Source organism: Homo sapiens, chromosome 11 (assembly GCF_000001405.40).
Source record: "Homo sapiens chromosome 11, GRCh38.p14 Primary Assembly".
NCBI classification, from domain to species: domain Eukaryota; kingdom Metazoa; phylum Chordata; class Mammalia; order Primates; family Hominidae; genus Homo; species Homo sapiens.
In genome coordinates, this window is record NC_000011.10 from 112,816,729 (window position 1) to 112,836,501 (window position 19,773).

The 19,773-nt window shown below is 46.2% G+C and overlaps 1 long non-coding RNA gene across 1 annotated transcript, besides 2 other annotated features; it reads right to left on the reverse strand.

Moving 5' to 3' along the window:
• Positions 1-4,556: 4,556 nt before the first annotated feature.
• LOC105369498 (uncharacterized) lies at positions 4,557-18,709 on the reverse strand. The gene is made up of 4 exons (XR_948020.3): positions 18,172-18,709; positions 17,601-17,789; positions 15,178-15,307; positions 4,557-6,667 (listed from the first exon to the last, which is right to left on the reverse strand). It is a non-coding gene; the product is annotated as an uncharacterized LOC105369498 (long non-coding RNA).
• Positions 5,028-5,895: an enhancer, noted in NCBI's record as "OCT4-NANOG-H3K27ac-H3K4me1 hESC enhancer chr11:112692479-112693346 (GRCh37/hg19 assembly coordinates)". NCBI's record gives its function as "activates a minimal SCP1, AML or CMV promoter by ChIP-STARR-seq in naive H9 embryonic stem cells {active_cell/tissue: H9 hESC(naive)}" and the evidence as "EXISTENCE:reporter gene assay evidence [ECO:0000049][PMID:30033119]".
• Positions 5,896-6,761: an enhancer, noted in NCBI's record as "OCT4-NANOG-H3K27ac-H3K4me1 hESC enhancer chr11:112693347-112694212 (GRCh37/hg19 assembly coordinates)". NCBI's record gives its function as "activates a minimal SCP1, AML or CMV promoter by ChIP-STARR-seq in naive H9 embryonic stem cells {active_cell/tissue: H9 hESC(naive)}" and the evidence as "EXISTENCE:reporter gene assay evidence [ECO:0000049][PMID:30033119]".
• Positions 18,710-19,773: the final 1,064 nt, after the last annotated feature.

Here is a 19,773-nt window from a genome sequence, read left to right on the forward strand (position 1 = left end):
CAAAAGCCAAAACTGAACGGTCAGGTTCCTAGATCAATAGAACCTGCTTCATTGCCTTACTCATTCCTTCACTTACCAAACATTCATTGATTTCCTGTTGTTTTCAACTACTTAATAAGGCACAGGCCTTGCCCTGATGCAGTTCAACCTTTTGATAGGAAAAGAAAAGGAAACAATAAATTGCAATCAGAGAGATAAGAGCAAAATAGAAGTATGTGCAGGATTCTGGGGATGGAGGAACCCCAGTTCTCTCTAGGAAGAGAGGGAAATAGAACACAGAACCCAGAACAATTTCACGCAGCAGGGTCTACGTTCTCGCCAGCTCTCCTGGGGACACAGCCATTCAGCCAGGATCTGGAGGAAACTGACACATGGGGAAAAAAATGGAACACAACCAGGAATTGAGCTTCTATCTGTAACTCTTCCTCCAGTTCCTTGCCTTGGCACTACCTGGACACAGCCCCAAAGGATTCAGGTATGTGTGCAATTATTTCTCTCAACAGTCCTACGAGGTACAAGGCTATCACTTGCCTCTGTGTGAATTCCAGACAGGCCGTCTGAGACCAAATCCTGCCTTATTCTCACCATGTCACACTGCCTATCACACCTGGGAAAGATGCAGGGTGGGAGCCTGAGGAGGGGATAAAGGCCTCCCCACACGCCTGTGATTGGCTTCAGAGCTTTGGGGCAGGGTTACTGTCCTGGTGACCAGTCTGCCTCCACCCAGAATCCTTCTTCTACCACTGACTCCCTGCAGTGCAGGCCAAACAGGTCTATACCTTATTATGCCAGATTCCTCAGCCCAATGCAATGGAAATTAAATGCTATCTGCACAGGAGCCCAGCAGAGACACTGCATTCCTGGCTAGCTAGGCAGGACTTGGGATGACAGGGAGAGCGGAAATTACTTCTCAGTGATGAGAGCCTGACAAAGCAATTGTGCCCTGAGAATTGGCTGTGCCGCAGAGAGACAGGCTGGCCTCCTAATCTCAAGAAGCTTGGGTCTTTGTCCCTGGATCCTGGGAGCCTCTGAGCTGCTCAACCATGGTTCAGCCTGGTGAACCTAGGGAGCACGTTCTCCCCACTTCCTCCTGGACAACAGATTTTAAGGAGGGTGCAGACCTAGCCATTTTGCTGCCACAAGGATCCAGAGCATATTTTGAACAACAGTTGCAGCATTTTTAGTAATCTGCAGATACAGATGAGGAGATTGGTGTCTGAAAGCTGATCTCCTTTGTCTTTACTCTTACCCTAGCCCCCTAGGTGGGTCTCTCTGTCTCTCTCTCTCTCTCTCGTGTGCACGTGCCTTTTTTTTTCCCCTCTCTCTCCCGCCCCATCTTCCTTACTCCCTAAGTGTGTGTGGTGGGAGTTGGGGAAGTTGGGGGAAGGCAGCAGGGGAGCACATATCCACGTGTAATTTTTGATATCGAAGTCAGCGTTTTCAATTACTTTCCACTAATTTCTCCCACTACCCTTTTCTACTTGTAACTATGGAAATGCATAATAAATGTCCATTTAGATGTGCAAGGGAAACAATTTTCAAAGTGAAAGATAATATATTTTCATGAGCCCCAAGTTCTCCTACTTCTTATACCTCATCCCTAGCCACTGGCTTGCTGGTGTACATGGGTGGCATTCATGGCTTAACATAAAGGAGGCCACATCATTGAAACTCATTGTGAACTCGCCATCTTGGGGCCCCCTCAGTGCATATGATCCTGTCTGTATGGGCTGAAAGAGGGATGTCCCTGACTGCACGTGGAGCACCAGATGCAATGGCTCTGGAATACCCAAGGAGATGACTTTCCAGAATTCAGAAAGATTTGAGACTCAGCAGGACACAGACTCCTTTCTCACCCCCAGGGAGAGGATGACCCAGGCAGAAAGCAATCATGCTGCAGTAGTGACCTCCACAAAGCTTAGAATCAGGAGGTCTATGCATCTGAATATTGTTGTTAATGGGCTATGCTTCTCAAAATAACATACGCCAGGTGGTAGGACATGCAGTTCCTAAAGCTATAACATGAATATGGTGAATTTTCCTCTGTGATCAATTTTACTAATTGACAACTGATTCAAAACATCATATTTATATAAAAACATTATGTAGGAGAATGCAAAATTCTTGAGAATTTTTACGGTAGTCCATGAGGTTAAAAGGAATTTATGCTTATAGCTGGCAGCTTCAGAGTGTACCCCAGGACTCTTGAGATACCCTTTCATTCTCCATTAGGAACATTTTACTAGGAAGTTTAAGAGGTCCTGCCCAGCAGTCCCCACCTCCTCTGGGTCTCATGCTGAGTATAATAGTTCATTTTTCCAAGAATCCTGTGGGGGAAGAAAGCCAATTTTTTCATCAACCCTCATAAGTTCTTAATTGGAATAGACCCCCTGTAACAAAACACAGATAAATGGAAGAAAACCAAAAAGGCATTTATTAATATATATATTTCACACATGCATGGGAGACACCCAGAGAATGAGTGGGTGTCCTTGAAGTCCAAGAAGTGTCTTTGAAGTTCAGCTTATATAGCATCTTCAACAAAGAACAGTAAATTTTTAGAGATGTGAAAAGACAAAGAAAAAGGACTTTGAGTCTCTAGGGGCAGCGACTTGTGGAAAGGCAAATAAATGGCAGATAAATGTTAGTTAGTAAAGCTTGTTAATGCAGATTCCTCTGGTGCTGTCTCCAGGTGGAATAAGGATCTAAAGTTGTCTTCAAAGTTTATCCTGTGTTCTCCTTGTTAGAAGTAGGGACAGGATACCTTTTGTCTTTGTAAATCTGTGTCCTGCTTTTAGGCAAATGGAGGGAGGGCAGAGAGCTTTCCTGCAGCTGCTTATTCTTAATTGCCTTCAGCTCAACAATCCTTATGCAAAAGAGGCATATTTTGGGGTGGCATATTCTGGTCTCCCACGATTCATTGGAACCATTTTTTAGCTTCTGCAAACTTAATTTTTGAGCCAGTTCTAAGGTGACTCAGGTTCAAAGCCTGCCCCTTGAGGATGCAGAAAACCAGTCTGACACCATCTGAGACCTGAAGCTGCCTTTTTCTAACCTCTAGTGACCCCCAAATCCTCTCAGACTCACTTCAATCAGCCCCCACTTCAAGGGCTGAGTTCTGAGAAGATGCAATTACCCCTAAACGTCCGAGTGTCACCCACTACATTGGGAAAACCCAATCATATTCATTTGAAGGGGCTGAGCATGGAGCCAAGAACAGGATCAATATTCATTTTCTTTCCACTGAAAAGAGATGACAAAGGAAGTTGTCCAACAGGGCAGCCTTTCAACTTGAGCAACACTAATTGATCAGTTATTTGGCAGATAGATCTGAATTCCCAGACCTGACTTCCTCCCTCATGACCTCCTTTGTCCTTCTTACTTCCCACACCTCTGGCAAATGAAACTGTGATTCTGCAGATACTTCCAATAGCACCTGGGCCTTCATTGAGGTTGAGTTGAGGATTCTGACTTTCAAGAGAGATGAAGTCCCCAGCACCTAGCTCTCTGAATCAGGGTCAAATATTGCTGAGGCAAAAAGTTCTCATGCCTGTCCCTTGCCCTATATATAGGACAGGGAGAAAAAGAACAACAAGAAGAGCCATCCTGCCTCCCATAAAAAACCTCAGGTAGGAAATCGATAGGTCAAAGCCTAACATGGCAGTAGCCACCCTTACTATTGAGGCAAGTCCTGGGCCTTCAAAAGCACGGTCCCTTCTCATTTATTTTGCAGAAAGCCAGGGGGTCTCCTTTTTGTCCCCAGGCAAAGCACAGGAGGGAGTTCAAAACATGCCACCCCAAAATATGCCCGTTTGGCATATGAGATATTTTGAGCTGAAGGCACTTGAGAAGCAGCAGATGCAGGAAGGGCTCGCTGACCTTCCCTTTCTACCTAAAAGCAGGTCATAAGATTTTCTACGAGAAAGGTGTCCTCCTTGTACCCACGTTGAGGCTTGGAAAGCAATATTGCAAAATGAAGGCCTCGGAAGTGAAAGTGTTTCTCTGACCTTCTCCTGCCCTCATCTCTCTCTCAGTCCCATTCCCCCCTGAGGCCAGCCATAAAAATGAGAATCCCTGTTCCCTGAGGGTTGTCTCAGAAACCAGAACTCCTTTTCCCCAAAGCCAGCAATATAACTTAAAAGTATTACTCTAATTTTCCTCTACCTTTCTATGTAAAAACTGGCCATGAAGAAATTATCCAATCTACTTTGTTTAACTGTAGGTCGTAAGATTCTACTCCAGAGGGAGACCTGTCCTACACCCAGGAGGAAGGAACGCATGCTCAGAGATGTCAAGAAGAATCTAGACAGACAGACCTTGCTGGATTTCCATACTCAATCTATTAGCATTAGATCAGACCCTTTTTGTCCAATCATATTTCTACATGGCTGTCCATACTTTGTTGAACCTAAACATAAAAATGGACAATTTCCCCTGCATCTTTGGATCTTCATTCTGCAGGCTCCCATGTGTACACGTTACATAGATTTGTATTTTTTTTCCCCCAATTAATCTGCCTTTTGTGAGGTGATTTTTCAGTAAACCTTCAGAGGGCCAACCCCTTGGCTCCTACATCAGATAGAGAATACTCTTACCCAGAGACTAGGAGTCAAATGCTGAAATGGATCTGTACAAACAAACCTACTAAAATAATCCTTCTCTTGCTTTAGTTTTCCCCCACATATTTCCTCATCATTTTCCCACAAATTACCACACTTAGAAATTTAACACCCTTTTTCTTTGTCTCATCACTTCTTCAAAAATTTATTAATCTTTGTTTAAAAAGGTACATAAACTCTTGGTCTTAACCACTTCTTCAGATCTTCATTTTTCCTATGAAGGCTCCCATGTACACACAAAAATATTAAATAAAATTCGTATGGTTTTATCTTGTTAGTCTATGTCAACTTAATTGTCAGGCCCAGCTGGCCACGGAACTTAAGAGGGCATAGGAAAAGTTATTCCTCTCCTACATACACCTGGACCCTTCTAAAACCAGATGTGAACACCCTGGTTTTCTCTGTTCCTTTTTGCACCTTAGAGGCTGAGATAGGCCTACAGCCCATACCCTGTGGTTGGTCAGACATGTGCTCAGGGATGCCAGGCCATCTCTCTCTTTTCCTCTCTCCCTGTGGGCCAGGGGAAGTGTGATTTGTTTCCCAGGATTCTGTTTCAGGATTTGGCCTATCTGGCTTTTGCCAGAGCTTGGCACTGCTATGATGTTTAGTAAAGTAGTTCATCTTTTCCCATTTGGTTACTGTTCTTTGTGCATATACCCCATCTGTCAGCTCCCTAGAGGGAAGGAAGGTGAGTGACACCCTGGACCCTAGCAATGATTGTCCCTAATGTGAGAACCTGGATAGAAATGCAAACAGCACACAATGCTTCCATATCCACACATTTGGTATTTGCTGCACAGCAGCTATGGCGAGGTTCATTTGGCTATTATTCCTGCTCATCAAATGAGGAATCTCAATGTTCAGAGACTTCAGGTCACCTGATGACAATCAAAACAGCTAGTTAGTGGCAAAGCAAGACTTGGATCCAGGTCTTGGGAGCAGGATATACAGTGGAAAGGATGCAGGCTTTGGAGTCAGGCAGACCAGGGTTGAGTCTCTGCTTCCCAGCTACCTGGCCTTCTGATTCACTCTGAGTGTGGGGCTTGGGGGCAGGCTGAGATGTGGGGGCAGGTGTCCCCCTGACCTAGTCCCTTGGCTTCTGAATGGCTTTTCATCCCCCTCTGCTGCTGCTACCCACAGTTCCCCACCCCATCCTTCCCACAAAGCCAGCCTCATTTCTACCCAAGAACCTTTCTCTCTGGATAAGACAATGAATTCAGGACCAGCCCAAGGGAGAGGAGCTTTAAAACAAGAATACCCATCTGGCCGCCAGGAAAGGATAAGAGCAGCATGGAAGAGATGATCTGGGATCATCCCCATCAGCCCCTCTGCAGGAGGGACCCCTCCCCACCCCCAGGGTCTCCATTGTTAAGCAAACAAAGTCCTTGGTGCTAGGGTAGGTTGCATGCAAATTGAATTAAGTCTCCATCTGTTAGTTTATTCATTTCAGAGTTGGGGTTTTTTTCTTTATTCCTTTTTTTTGGACTTCCCATGTTTCATACTTGCTAATGAGCCAATCAAATAGCATTAGGAACTGTGGGCAGGAGGTGGCTCTGCCCAGCCTGGAGCCCCCTTTGCACTCTCTGCCACCTCTGAGAGAAACCCCTCCCCCTCTCATCCTCTCTTTAGATTCCTGCTGCCTCAGCCCTCCTAGAAAAAGTGCCCAAGCTGTTGATTCAAAATAGATATTCATTTGCATGGAATTAGCATGTTGCTCATTTAATGTTCAATTCCACCCCCGTTCCACCATCCAAAGTCCGCAGTCCAGGATATGGTCAGGAGGTCTGGCTGAGTGCCCAGATATAAAGCTTGTGATTTAGGTGGATGTCTTTAGAGTGCAAATTCTCAGCAGCTGCCTCCAAGCTCTGCCCTCTGCTGCACTGAGGTCAGCCCTGTTATAGCAGAAGGAGACAGGTGGTTACCTTTGAAGTGGAGCCCTCTGTCCTCCACCAGGTTCTGTCACAGTGCTAGAAATGCCTGGCATCAGAGTTGCCCAGGAAAGTTTGGTTGAAGGGATGGGAGAGTAGACGGTGAGGACTCTGGATCACCTGTGAAAATAATGGCAGCAATAAAAACAATGGAAATAACAAAGGCTACCATTTATTAACCATCTGCCATATTCCATACATTGTTCATATTTAAGTTCTCACCCTTATCACAGCACTGAAAGGTAAATAGTATCATATCAGTCAGGACTCTCAGGTGCAAGTATGCAAAAGCATAATTCCAACAGGCTAACAGAAAAGGAGAGCGGGGTATTGACTCATGTAACTAAAAGCATCCAAATCCAGGGGACTTTTGGTGTCAAGTCCTTCTGGACTGAACTGAACAAATGATGTCATCAGGACATTGTCTCTTTCTCTCAGCTCTGCTTTCTCGTATTAGGAGTCACTCTGACAGCCTTCCTCAACTCAGTAGCTCTCAGCAGCTCCAGGACTAAGTCTTTCTGCATGATTTGAATCCAAGTCTTAGCCATGATTTCCATTGGCGTAGATTGGGTCACATGGTCACTCATGAACCCACTGCTTTACTGGGAGACACAGTGGCCTAATAGGGCCATGCCTGAGTCACATGTCCATCTCCAGAGAGAAAGGGTAGGCATTAATGCTTCCTCCTTTACAAAGCACCAGGCCTCCAGGCCAGTGGAGGGATTCTCAGCAGAAAACGGGGTTCCTGTTACAGAAGAAAGCAGAAGAAAGAGGAATAGATGCTGGGTAGCAAAAACAATAAATGTCCACTCCAGATATCATGCCTCTTTGTAGACAGGGAAAAACATGCTCAAAAGGGTAAGTTATTTATCTGGGGTCATATAGATAGTAAATGCAAATTGATATTTAAATTTAGGATTTATCATTTACAAAGCCACATGTTGATACACATGAAAGGCAGGGAAATACTGGGTAGAAGAGGGTGGTTCCTCGTCAAGGGACCCACCTTCAAGCCTGGAAACCCAAGGCCCTAAATGGGAACAGGCATTCCTGTTTTTGTGCCAAAATGTGGCATTTTAGCCCACCACACCACCCATCTTGTACCCATATAAACCCCAAACCCCAGGCTCCACAAGCAGATGAACAGAAGGGCAGAGTGGCAGGGCAGCAGAGAGGTGCAGCAGAGAAGGAGGGAAGAAAAAGAGTGTCTGAACATTGAGAGGAGCTCGGCTGGGGACGGTCAGAGAGGAGATAGCCATGGGATGGCCAAACTCCAGGGGAAGATCATCTTCCCACTCTATCCTCTTTCTAGCTCCCCATCCATCCTGCTGAGAGCCACCTCCATCCAGCAATAAAATCTTCCCCATTTATCATCCTTCAATTTGTCCATGTGGACTGATTCATCCTGGACACGAGACAAGAACCTGGGTACCAAGAGGGCACTGAGCTGGTTAACACTTAAGCCATCTGTGGAAGGCAACTGCTAAAAGAGCACTGTCACACACCCACTGGGGCTTTGGAAGTCACAGGCACCCACCCCAGATGCTACCGTGGGGCTGGAGCCCAAAAGCACTCTCCCCAGCTCCTGCACCTGCTCATCTACATGTTCCTCCTCCCATAAAGGGTTTGAGCATGCACAGCAGCCAAACAGATGTGCTACACCCCTGTTGCACCTCCTGTCAGGGGGGCCAGTGAGCTCTCCCATTTCAATATTAAACCTCCTCCTTCCTCTTATACTGACTATGAAGAGGGAAGGGAGATAGACAAGCAGGGAGGGGTATTAAAAGCAGAAAAATATGTACAAAAGAAAAAAAATTGCTGGCTTAGTGAAGATTGAGCTTCCAAAATGCTCTGATATGGTGCAAATATGTCATGGGTGAAGGAGAAAGCCATTAATCCAATGGAACTCACTACCTCATGATGGAAATAAATAAATTAATTTAATTAAATGATTTTATATGCCAGAACAAGAAGGAATCGTAGGAGATTTGAAATCATCTGGGCTGACATAAGCCATCTGACACAGTTCCTTTTTATCCCCTCCCTCACCTGCCCCCTGGTACAGAAGGCTAACTGTGATCTGAGTGGAAAGATCCCTCCTCTTCTGCCTTGAAGAGGTGTGTGTGTGTGTTTGCGTGTGTGTGTGTGCACCTGTATGTATGTCTGTGTGTATGTCAGTCTATGAGAAAAAATATCAGGGAATTGACTTTTATAATTCCCTGTGACTCAGTTATTATTTGGGCCACTGATGTCCCATAAGTATCCCCAGTGTTGCTTCAGTTGAATAATTCATAATGGGGGCTGGTGCTCCCTCAGCTCTGTCTCTACAATATGACTGCTATGTATCTCTTAGGGGTTATCTGATAGCAAGCAACAGAAACATACTCTGGCTAACTTAAGTTGAAGGGTATGGGGCAGTAAGAGAATTGAAAGACAATCTGAACAACTAGGTTTCCAAAAGTAGAGGAAAGGGTATAGGGGTTTCAGGGTCATCAGGGCACCTGGCTGACCAGGTAAATTAGGGTGGATTTAGTTTGCTGTCTGCTCACCAAGGCTTGCCTCTCTGTAGGGGGTTTTGTCTGCCTGGAGAAAGGGTGACTTTTTCTTTGCTGAAAGATGCTTCAATTCCCTGAGCTCCATGTCTTTTCTAAGCATCACAAAGGGCTAGGAGTGGCACTGGAAGTAATAAGCAATCTTCTCAGGGAGTTACTGTAAAATGCATCAGCTCCAACAATTTCTGGCCTTGCATAATTCTACTCACAGTTCAGATTTTAAGGAGAGATTGGCTAGCTTGAATCCCCACTAGAGAGTCCCAGGAAGATTTCATGGAATTGGGGGTAAAGTGGGGAAGGGAGAGTTCCCAGGGGAAAAACAGCATTCTTAGCTAAAAGAATGAGAAACATTCCTAGGCAGATCAGGCCGGCAGGTGTTCACCATACCCTAAAGGCTGAACAGGAAGCAAATGTTCTCCCTTACTCAGGGGTGCTATGTTGCCGAATTCCAGAATGAGTCCTCTACGTTGAATCCCATGTGTATTGTACCCCCTGCAGTTGTGCAATGTAGAAGCCTTGCCTTTTCCCTATATACTTCCTGCTTCACCAGTCTTTCCAGATATAACATTTACTAGGCTATGATAAATATATTCTGAGTTTTTTTGCCAAAGGGTGAGGTAGATCTCTCAGCCCAGCATGATGTAGGAAGACCCCAGCTGATAACTCTTCCTGTTTTGCTGTTCCATTTTATCACCCAAGGAAAGGAGGCCTAGGTCTTCAGAAGAAATCTATCCCACTTGGATGAACCCTTGCATCTCCCTCTTTCAAGCCCCCAAATCTGTATCCCATACACGTCTTTCTAGAAACTACCCCTGCTTCACCTAAGGAAGATGTCTTCTCCTCCTTTGCTTTGCAAACTCAGAGCTTTAAGTTTAGTAGGATGCTAGTCCTACTAAAGGTTTTTTTTTCTATTTTTAAGACAAATGGAAATGATGAGTGCTCTAATTTCAGTCCACTGATCTAGTTTCTTTACTAGTTATGTTAGAAACAAAAACACTAACACTAATGTAAGGGCTATTTTTCCCTCTATCTGACCTCATCTGAGGAAAATAGAGCCTTTCCTTCAATGTGTCTTTGACCTTGCTCCTTGCAGAAAAATTACTCTTGAATTACTGTGCTAAACAACTTTTGACCCCTTCCTCAGCCTGGCTTACATTACACAAGCCTCACATTAACCATGAGCAGCTGTGCCTGAGCCATCTGGGATGGTAGATACCAGCACCTATTAGATAATTTCCAATCCTCAAATCTCTTTCCTGATAGAAGAAAGCAGGAGTTGGTCTCAGTTCATCACCACGCATTGTCCACTTAATTCTGGTTCACCCTGGTTTTGATTCTCCTACTAATCCTGCTATCCATTCCTTTCTTTTCCGCCCTTAGCTTGGCCTTTAGACTTAATTCATGGCACTGCTTTTGTACCTACTTCCTTGGTACCTGTCAATAACTGTTCTTCTTTTCCCACCTGGCCCACTAACGCTGGACCTAGATATCATCCTAAGGAATTTGTTATATTAGGGAGCTGTCTGGAAAGCAGGATGAAATGATGTAAGAAAATGAAACAAAGGATATGCAAGTTTTAATGAAATGTAATTTCATCAAAATGTAAGGGTCTTGTTCAGAGAGCCATAAGGGTGGGGGGGGTCCCTAGTTACCTTGACCAGATGGATAGTATTAGGTGGGGTTGGGAAAAAGGGTTAGAAGCAGGAAAGAACCATTAGAGTCAATTTCAAGCATAAAGCAGGCTGTGCCTAACCCTCTTTAACTATCAGGATTCACTATGCACTATCAACCCATCTAGGATCAAACCCCCACTGCAATATCAACCCAACAAGAAGAGAATTGGAGAGTGAGAAAGAGCTGAAATACTTGGGAATAGTGGAGACAGAGAAGACAGTAATCATTTCCCCCGCGTCACTGCTAGATCCAATAATTCTTTGCCATTTCCATGTCAGGAAATGTGGGGAAGGAGTTCTAGAGTTACACTACTGCCAGTGGATCTTCCTGTATAATCCCAAGGGGGCTACACTTGTGGAGTAGAAGAACTGGAAACATCTGGTTGTTATGGTTTGAATGTTTTTGTTCTCCAAAATTCAGGTTGAAACTTAATTCTCAACGCAACAGTACTGGGAGGTGAAGCCTTTAGAGGTGATTAAGTCATGAAGGCTCTGCCCTCATGAATGGGATTAGGTGCCCATACAAAAGGGCTCGAAGGAGGGAGTCTGCCTCTTTTCACCTCTTTGGACTCTTCTGCCATATAAGGACTCCTTACACTCCTTCCCTCTGGAGGATGCAGCAACAGGTGCCATCTTGGAAGCAGAGACTGGGCACTTGCCTGCTGGTACCTTGATCTTGGACTTCCCAGCCACCAGAATGATGAGAAAATACATTTCTGTTCTTTACAGATTACCCAGTCTCAGATATTTCCTTATAGCAGCACAAATGGACTAAGACAGTGGCCTCATTGAGGATCAGAGAGATAAGCTCAGGTATAGCAATCAGGGATTTGATTCTACCCTAGAGACAGAGTTGGGCAAGAGTGGTAAGACGCTGAGTGTGGGCATGCACTGTGCACCAACTCTTCTCCAACAACAACCACCTCGGGTGATCCCAAACATCCTTAGTGTCTCAATTGTTATCAGGATGCTCCAAGTGGCTTTTGTAGGCCCTATATCTCATATCCAACCGTGTATTACGTATTTCCACCTAGGTATTCCATAGTAATGCCACACTCAACACGCCCCAAACTGAACCACACCCTGTCCCCAGACCTTATGTGTAAATAACATGTCATTACCCATATCAGATTTCCCAAGGCAGAGACTTGACTGCTATTCCTGACTCCTCCCTCTCCCTCAAGCCTCTTATATTTAGACAACCACTGAGGGCTGCCAATTCTGCCTCCCAAATGTGTATCAGATGTGTCCCCTATATCCATTCCTACAACTACTGTTCACATTCAGGCCACCACCATTCTTGCCCAAGCTACTGCATTAGCCTCTAGCCACCATTCACCCATCAGTGAATGGTGTCAGTCTCATCTTCCATGCCATTCCTGTGCTTAAAAGTCTGTCGGGAGCCCCGTTTTGCTGAGAATAAAGTCCAAGCTCCCTTGCCTTGCCTATCAGACCCTCTGTGACCTACTTTCACCTTCCCCTAGCTTCATTCCTCACTACTACCTGCCCCATATTTCATGCTTTACAAACAGAAACATACTTGTAGTCCTCCCTTCACACATCTTGCTGTATCTCACCTCCGAGTCATTGCTCCAAGTGACCCTGCAACCAGCAGTACCCCTCCCCTGCTACTTTTACCTAACACAGACTATTCCTTGAGGCTTAGCTCGTGCAGTGCATCCTCCAGGAAGCCTTCACCATCCACTGCAGTTCACTTCCTCACCAATTAAAAAGGCTTAAAAAATATTTCCAAAAAAGACTAAGAGATTAAAAGATTCTGTCATGTTTTTCATACCCCACATACATTTAGGTCCCCCTAATTCATGCTATCACAATGCACAGTGCCTATCTTTGCCATAGACCATACTACCTTTTATTGTAGTTATCTGTTTATACTACCTCATCTCTTAATGACAGCCTCCATGGGAGCAAGAACAATATATTACATCCCCAAACCCAGTCCATAGTAGATGTTAAATAAACCATAAATAAATATCTTTATTAATAAGTGATGAACAAAACCTTTGTTGATTTTTTTCTTCTCCTCCACTTTTGAAGAGGCAAGACTGTTGAGTACGATCCTTCCTGCACTCCCTTCCAATGAGTTCAGTGTCGTGGTTAAGATCATGGGCTCTGGATTCAGGCACAGCTGAAGCATCCTAGCTCTTTCATTTATTAACTGGAGGAACTTGGGCAAGTTACTTAACCCCTCTGAGTTTCACTCTCCCACATATGCAAAATGAGGATAATAGAATCCACCTTATGTGGTTCTTGTGAGGCTTAAACAAGGTTGTGTATGGTTCTGTATTTGGTACCTACTAAATGTTCCCCTAAAATTCTGGTTATGATCATTCCTCCACCCTACTACTTTCTTCAATTCCAGCCTATGTGGTCCAAAGTCTGATGAGAAGGCATGATTAAGATTGGGAATGTGAAACAAATAAAATCTTTTTAGTGTATCTTTAACCTGAAGTTTCTGCATTTGTTCCAAGAAATGTTAAAAGAAAAGGGAATTCATTGTAATTCTAGCTGTCTTTATTTTTCTTCCAAGACAAAAGCATCAGAAAAACGCACAGCAGCAGCTAGCACACTGAGCCACCGCCAGTGAGCCTGGACCAAAGCAATGGTGCTGCTGCTCACGGCAGAGGGACTGAGCCACAGAGACAGAGCTCATTAATGCTAATGGCCTTTGTGCAGCTAATTAGCACCATATCGCACTCAATATTTACCCTTGTGTGCTGACAAAGTTCTACTTTCTCCTTGGGAAGCAAGCTGTTTTTCTACCTGACCCATAACAAGGAAAACCTCTGATGCCAGACAACAGCTCCATGTCTGCCTAGATAGATTGGCTAGAGAGAAGCTGAGGGCCTGCTACCCCGGGGTGGGGGAAGGGAGCCTGTGGTTCTCATTCCAACCCTGGGTGGAGTGTTGGGCAGCTGAAGTCTTCACCCAGTGAGGGTGCCATTTTCATGATACAACCATGCAGCTGTCAGCCCCAAGTGTCCTTCCACAACCACCATGTGCTCAGCCTCCTCCTCCTTGCTTTGGAGGAGGTGTTTCTCTGGGAGAAACAGGGCCTGGGAGAAGGAGGTGAACCACTAAGAAAGGGATTTAGAGGGCCTGTCAAGGCAGAAATCTCCGAGAGACCTGTCCACAATCCACTCAACAACCTTCAACAACTTTTAACAGAGCTCCTAAGCTATGCCATATGCCAAGGGCTGGGGACACAAAGATGGGCAAGACAGTGGGCAAGTCCCTGTTCTTGGGAGCTCTCAATCTACCTGAAGACTGACCTGTAGCAATTGTGATACAATGTGATAAGGAAGGTGCAGAGCTGAGTAGAGGAAAGGACCACTCAGGTCAGACCAGGGGGATCAAGAAGGGCTGGATGGAGGAGGAATCACTAAACTGTTGAAGCGCCTCGAGTCCACCTCTATCAGAGAGTACTGGCACATTCCCTGTCCTCTGAAGCAACAGACTTGGAATCTGAGGATGTATCACAGCTAGGTCCGGCATGAAGTGATGCAGACAAGGATGCTGCTTTAGGTTATAGGATGTGCTTTGGAGACCAGCAGGCTAATAATTGCTCCATTAGCAGGAACCTGGGCTTGATTCTCTCAGAGGTCTCCCCTCTTAGCTCACCACAGCATTCTTCTAAGGTCCCTCCCAGCTCCCACCCACCATCTTGCTCTACAAGCAAATACTCATCACATAGATGACCCCAGGGCTGGTGGTTTCTCATCATGCCCCAAGGGATACTGGCTTGAAGCCATTCCCTCAACCCTGTAAATTGCTTGGTTGGCCAATGCCCAGCTACTAAATGCATTGGCATTCCCGCCATGCCACCAACCATATCCAAGTTGAAGCTGTCTTGAGACCATCCATGTAGAGCACCAAGAAAGACAGTCTGAACACACCACCCCCTCCACCCCTGGAGATGTGGAGGGTTGGGCAGTCTCTGCTTTAAGATAGGAGCTGAGAGCCGGGTGTGGTGGCTCTCGCCTGTAATCCCAGCACTTTGGGAGGCTGAGGCGGGTGGATCATGAGGTTAGGAGATCGAGACCATCCTGGCTAACATGGTGAAACCCTGTCTCTACTAAAAATACAAAAAATTAGCCGGGCGTGTTGGCAGGTGCCTGTAGTCCCAGCTACTCGGGAGGCTGAGGCAGGAGACTGGTGTGAACCCGGGAGGCAGAGCTTGCAGCCTTCAGTGAGCGGAGATTGCGCCACTGCACTCCAGCCTGGGCAACAGTGCAAGACTCCATCTCAAAAAAAAAAAAAAAAAAAAGATGGGAGCTGAGACTAGATGATGGTCTCTTGCTGCAAAGGTAACCACAACCAGTGGCTTCTCATCAAACACCAGTGCCTGACCACCCACTCATCACATTCATAGACACACACATACCATAGCCTGTTGTCAGCTTCTGTTCTCCAGAGCACCACTGAAGACTGTGTAGGTGGAGTTGTCCAACAAGGCTCCATGAATGGGCTCCTTGCTGGCCATTCTCTTTGAGATGAAAGGACTGCAGATCAAGCTGTATGGTCAGAGAAGGACTCAGTTTCAGTCACCACATTATGTGCTGCTAGATAGCTGAGGCTACACGAGGAAGTTGCAGGATCAATGTGGGGGCTGGCTTTTCCCCAGTGGATCATTCCCATGGAGCTCTCCACAGGCCTGAACTGGCCCAAGGAATTGAATTAGACCACAAAAGGATGTCCGGCCCCACCTAGCCCTGCCCAGCCTGCTACCTGGAGCTGGCTTCTAAGTAGAAAAGAAGACTGTACAGTTGGCAAAAGCTGGTGCCTACTTCTAGGTCTCTGTTGCCCTGAAGCTGTTTCTAGGTTATCCCCACAGCTTTCCCAGTCTCTATGCCTTTCATTCTCTCCTTAGGTGAGCCTAAGGGCATTGTTTCAGGACAAAACTAGACAAACAGCTGAGATAGAAACAGCCTTGATTTCAGCACAAGTCCTGCCCTCGTAAGTCCCAACCCTTCCCCACTGGCCTGGCCTGGGATACACCCAGACTTATGGCAGCCACACACAAATGCCCAGCCTGACTTGGGCTGGGGCTACTTCTCCCACATATAACAGTCCTCTCCCCTATGACATACACACATACACACACACAGAGCCTCCAGGAAACTGCCTCAGCTTGCTCAGAAAGGCAAATGCACATGATTTTCAAATGTCAGAGCTGGGAAGGAATCTAGAAGTCATCCAGCTTAGCATCCTCTTGACAGATGGCTGGAACCAAAGCCTTGAAAGGAGGATCAACTTGCCTACTGTCACCTGGCATGTTCCTAGCACATCCTTGTCTCCTGACTCCCAGAGCAGTGCTCTTCACAGACCATCAAGTTGCCTCCTGGCCTGTACCTTCAGCAACCACCACATCAGCTTCTGCTCAGGTTCTTCCCTCTACTGCAGAGGTGGTCAGAAGCTGGCAATTATGACTGATAAGGGGTTTTGAGATTTAGCCTCCATCTGAAGAAGCTGGGCTATATGGTATGCTGGTTAGCAAAGGGAATCAGAATATGCCTTCCAAAGTATACCACTGAAGGCAATTAAGATGTACCAAACGTGGCAAGAGCTCTCTACCTTCTCTCTGCCTAGAAGCAGTGCATAATTTTCCCTTTGTGAAGGTGTTCCCCCTTCCCTGTTCTGTACAGTGAACAAGCCTTATATTAGAGACAAAACGTCAGTGCCCACATGGCTCTACATAGGTAAACCTCACTAAAATAACTCTTATCTTACCTCAAATATTAGTTTTCCTCATATATTTACCTCCCCACAGTAAACTGTAGCCCAGCCACCCCTTAACCTATTTCCCTTGTTCTCCACTTTTATTATCCTTTGTTAAGATGGTACATAAGCCCCAAATTCTAATACTCCTTTGAGTTACTCATCACAGAGCTCTCCCACATGTATGCCTGTTACACGGGTAAATAAACTCTGTATTTTTCCTCCTGCTAATCTACCTTTCGTCAGTTTAATTCAAAGGCTCCAGGCACTAAACATAAGATAGTAGAGCACAAATATTTTTCCTCTCCTACATTAGGAGCCCAACTATCGCAGCACCTAGGTCTGAATCCCAGTTCAATCACTAAGTAGTGGTATAAACTTGGCAGGTTACTTTACCTCTCTGGGTCTCAGTTTCATCATTTGCTAAATGGAATAATAATATAACCTACCTCACAAATTGTTGTACATATTAAATGAGCTAATATTAAAGAACATGTCACAGAGGAAGCATTATATGAACCTAGGTTATTATTATTATTAGGGTGCTTTTTATAAATGTATATTCAAATCCTCACCCTTAGAGATTCTGAGTCAATACATCTGTGTTGGGAACCCATAATCTGCATTTTAGCAAACACCCCTAGTGGCTTTAATAGGAGTGTGGGTGTTGGGTAGCTCCAAGGACAGTATTAGGAGAAACCTTGTTTTCAAAGTTGGGGAAGTGTGTATTGATCCCATTCTGGTAGGTAAAAGGCTTTCAATGACCCTATTAGCTTTCTTGTCTGAATCTCTACACCCACATTTCTCAAAGTCATCTCCTGCCAGGAAGGCTTATTAAAAGACTAATTATCAGGCTTCATCCCGAACTTCCTGATCCAACTCTTGAGCTAGGCTTTGGGAAACGGCCTTTTAAATACTACCCTCCTGCCAAAGTGATTCAGAGGTGCACTGAAATTTGGGATTCACTGACAAAGAGTGGGTTTCTATGGCCTGGCCCAGCCCAGCATGTTGGAATGCTGACCACTGAAGATCCCTGTGGACCAGTGCTGCTGACAAGAGAGCCCTGGGTTGTCCTTTACTCCCCCTCACCTCACCCACTCAGGCTGCCACTCCACAGATCTTGTTCCCAGCCTGGGTGGCATTTCCATGCCAGCCCCTCATTTCCTGCCAAGAACAGAGCCGGCCTCTCTGATCCACTGGCTCTCTGCCCAGCTAGGCAGTAGGTGGCATCCGTGAAGACTGCTTTGCCCTCTTCTCCCTCCAGACTGCGAGGCTGTGCTGCAGAGGGAGAAGAAGAGATCAGGAGCATCATTTAAGAGGCTGCTCAGACCAAGCACAGGGAGCGGCCAGGAAGACAATCTTCAGCCCAGACAGCCCCTCCCACCCTGCCCAGACCTCTGTGTACTCATGTAAAGATAATTCAGTTACTGGGAATGCAGACCGGAGAGATAACCTGATTTAGAAGCTGAAACCATGTGAACAAGGGAGGGAGGCTGAGGTGCAGGAAACAGCTCTTACCAACCCAGGAAGGCTGAAATAGTAAACAGGGAAAGGGGGATTGGGTAGAGAAACAGTGGGTGGCTGCCTAGAAAGGATTATTGCTGGTTTGGGTGTTGGCAGGTGGAACCCCCACCCTCAGCCAATCCAAGGGTTTACTCACCCCTGTGAAAGCCTCTGTGAATTCACTTTTTCTAGAGTGTTCAGGTAGCCGTCATCTGGCTTATACAGCCATCCAGGGAGGAGATAAGTAGAGAAACCTATAAAGTGTCAGGAAGAAAAAAAACTTTTCTAAGGTTTAATTTGAGTCATTGATCACCAACTACCCTAGGAACAAGTTATTTCAGTGTGAGCCATCATCTGTGAAAGCTGGTGGCTTGGCTACTGCAGGATCCTCAGGGGAGGAGGCTTCTGTGATGCTCAGATCAAGGTCAGAGGCTTGGGGACCCTTCCTCCCCCTCTTCTTCCTTCATATCAGAGATCCAGCATCCCCTGGGCAAAGTCCAGAGCGGCATCCCTCCTCCATGAGCCCAGCTATAGTGCCTCTTCTATAGTCTCACATCCTTTGTTGCCTGGAAGTTCTCCCTGCAGTCTCATTTCCACACACTTGCATCTTTGGAGGGAGATGCTCTGGTGGAAAGCAGGCTAGCTTGCCCCTGTAAAGAAAAGGAAGTGACTAAGAATCTTGGAGAGCAGTTCCTTCCATTTATCTCTGTCTACTTCTCCTAGCATAGGGAGATCTTTCTCTGCAAATGATTTGTCTTTTTTATAACCTGCCTATTCCATAGCAGATGAGTTCAAGACAGTGAAGATCAGTCCTCAGACATTTTAGACTAGATTTGTAGACTGAAACAACAGAGCAGGGGCCCACCCACTCTGCAGGTGCCAGCTAGTGAGACCAGACACATAACCACCAGATTCACTGCGGGGAGTTGGGGCGGGGAGGTGGCTGCACCCTTCTCTGGGGAACAGCTGCCTCTGAGCAGCACTGGAAGCTCCTACATTAACTAGGCAGAGGACAAACCAGCAATAAAGGAGTTAAGCAACAGCCAGACATCACCCCCCACAACCCCCTCCCTCTGGACCCAGATGAATAACCAGTCAGTAAAATGACCCCAATGGAAGGAGTCCAGAATCGTCCACGCTGATCTCAGGAGGTATCTGCACTACTCACAGCACAAATCAGATCACTCAGAGTGAAGATGGCGCGGGGCGGGGCGGTGGAAGGGAGACCAGGGAGAAGACATTGCCTGAGCAGGGACCGGCCCGGGGCAGAACCTTCAGCTCCTGGGCCTGAACCTGGAATTTGTATTAGAAGAGAGAGCTCTCTGAGGGACCTGGCCCTTTTGAGTCTGCCTGTCTGCATTTTTTTCTTGAGAATTTGTTAGCGCTCAAGAAGAGGCGTTCCCTGTTGAGTTGGCTTTCCCTGGTGTGGTAAGGCAACAGAGAGCCTTCTCTTGGCAGCTAATCCTTCACCGAAGCTGTCAGGATGAGATGAATTACTAGGAGGAAAATAAATCAGATTTGCGAGAGCATCGGAAAGGCCGAGCCCCCAGAGTCTGACAGAAACCAGAGACCCCCACCCTTCCATTCTGGCGGAAGCACCCACTCACCCACTCGGGGGCCTTGACTGCCCCCACAGCTCCGCCCTCTCCCGGTCCCAGCTTCTGCCCAATGACAGGAGAGAGCTGCCCCTTGGCTTCCCCCAACGTCCCACAGGCTCCTCTGCTTGAGGCTTAGTCCCTGGGAAAGGCCTGCAGATTTA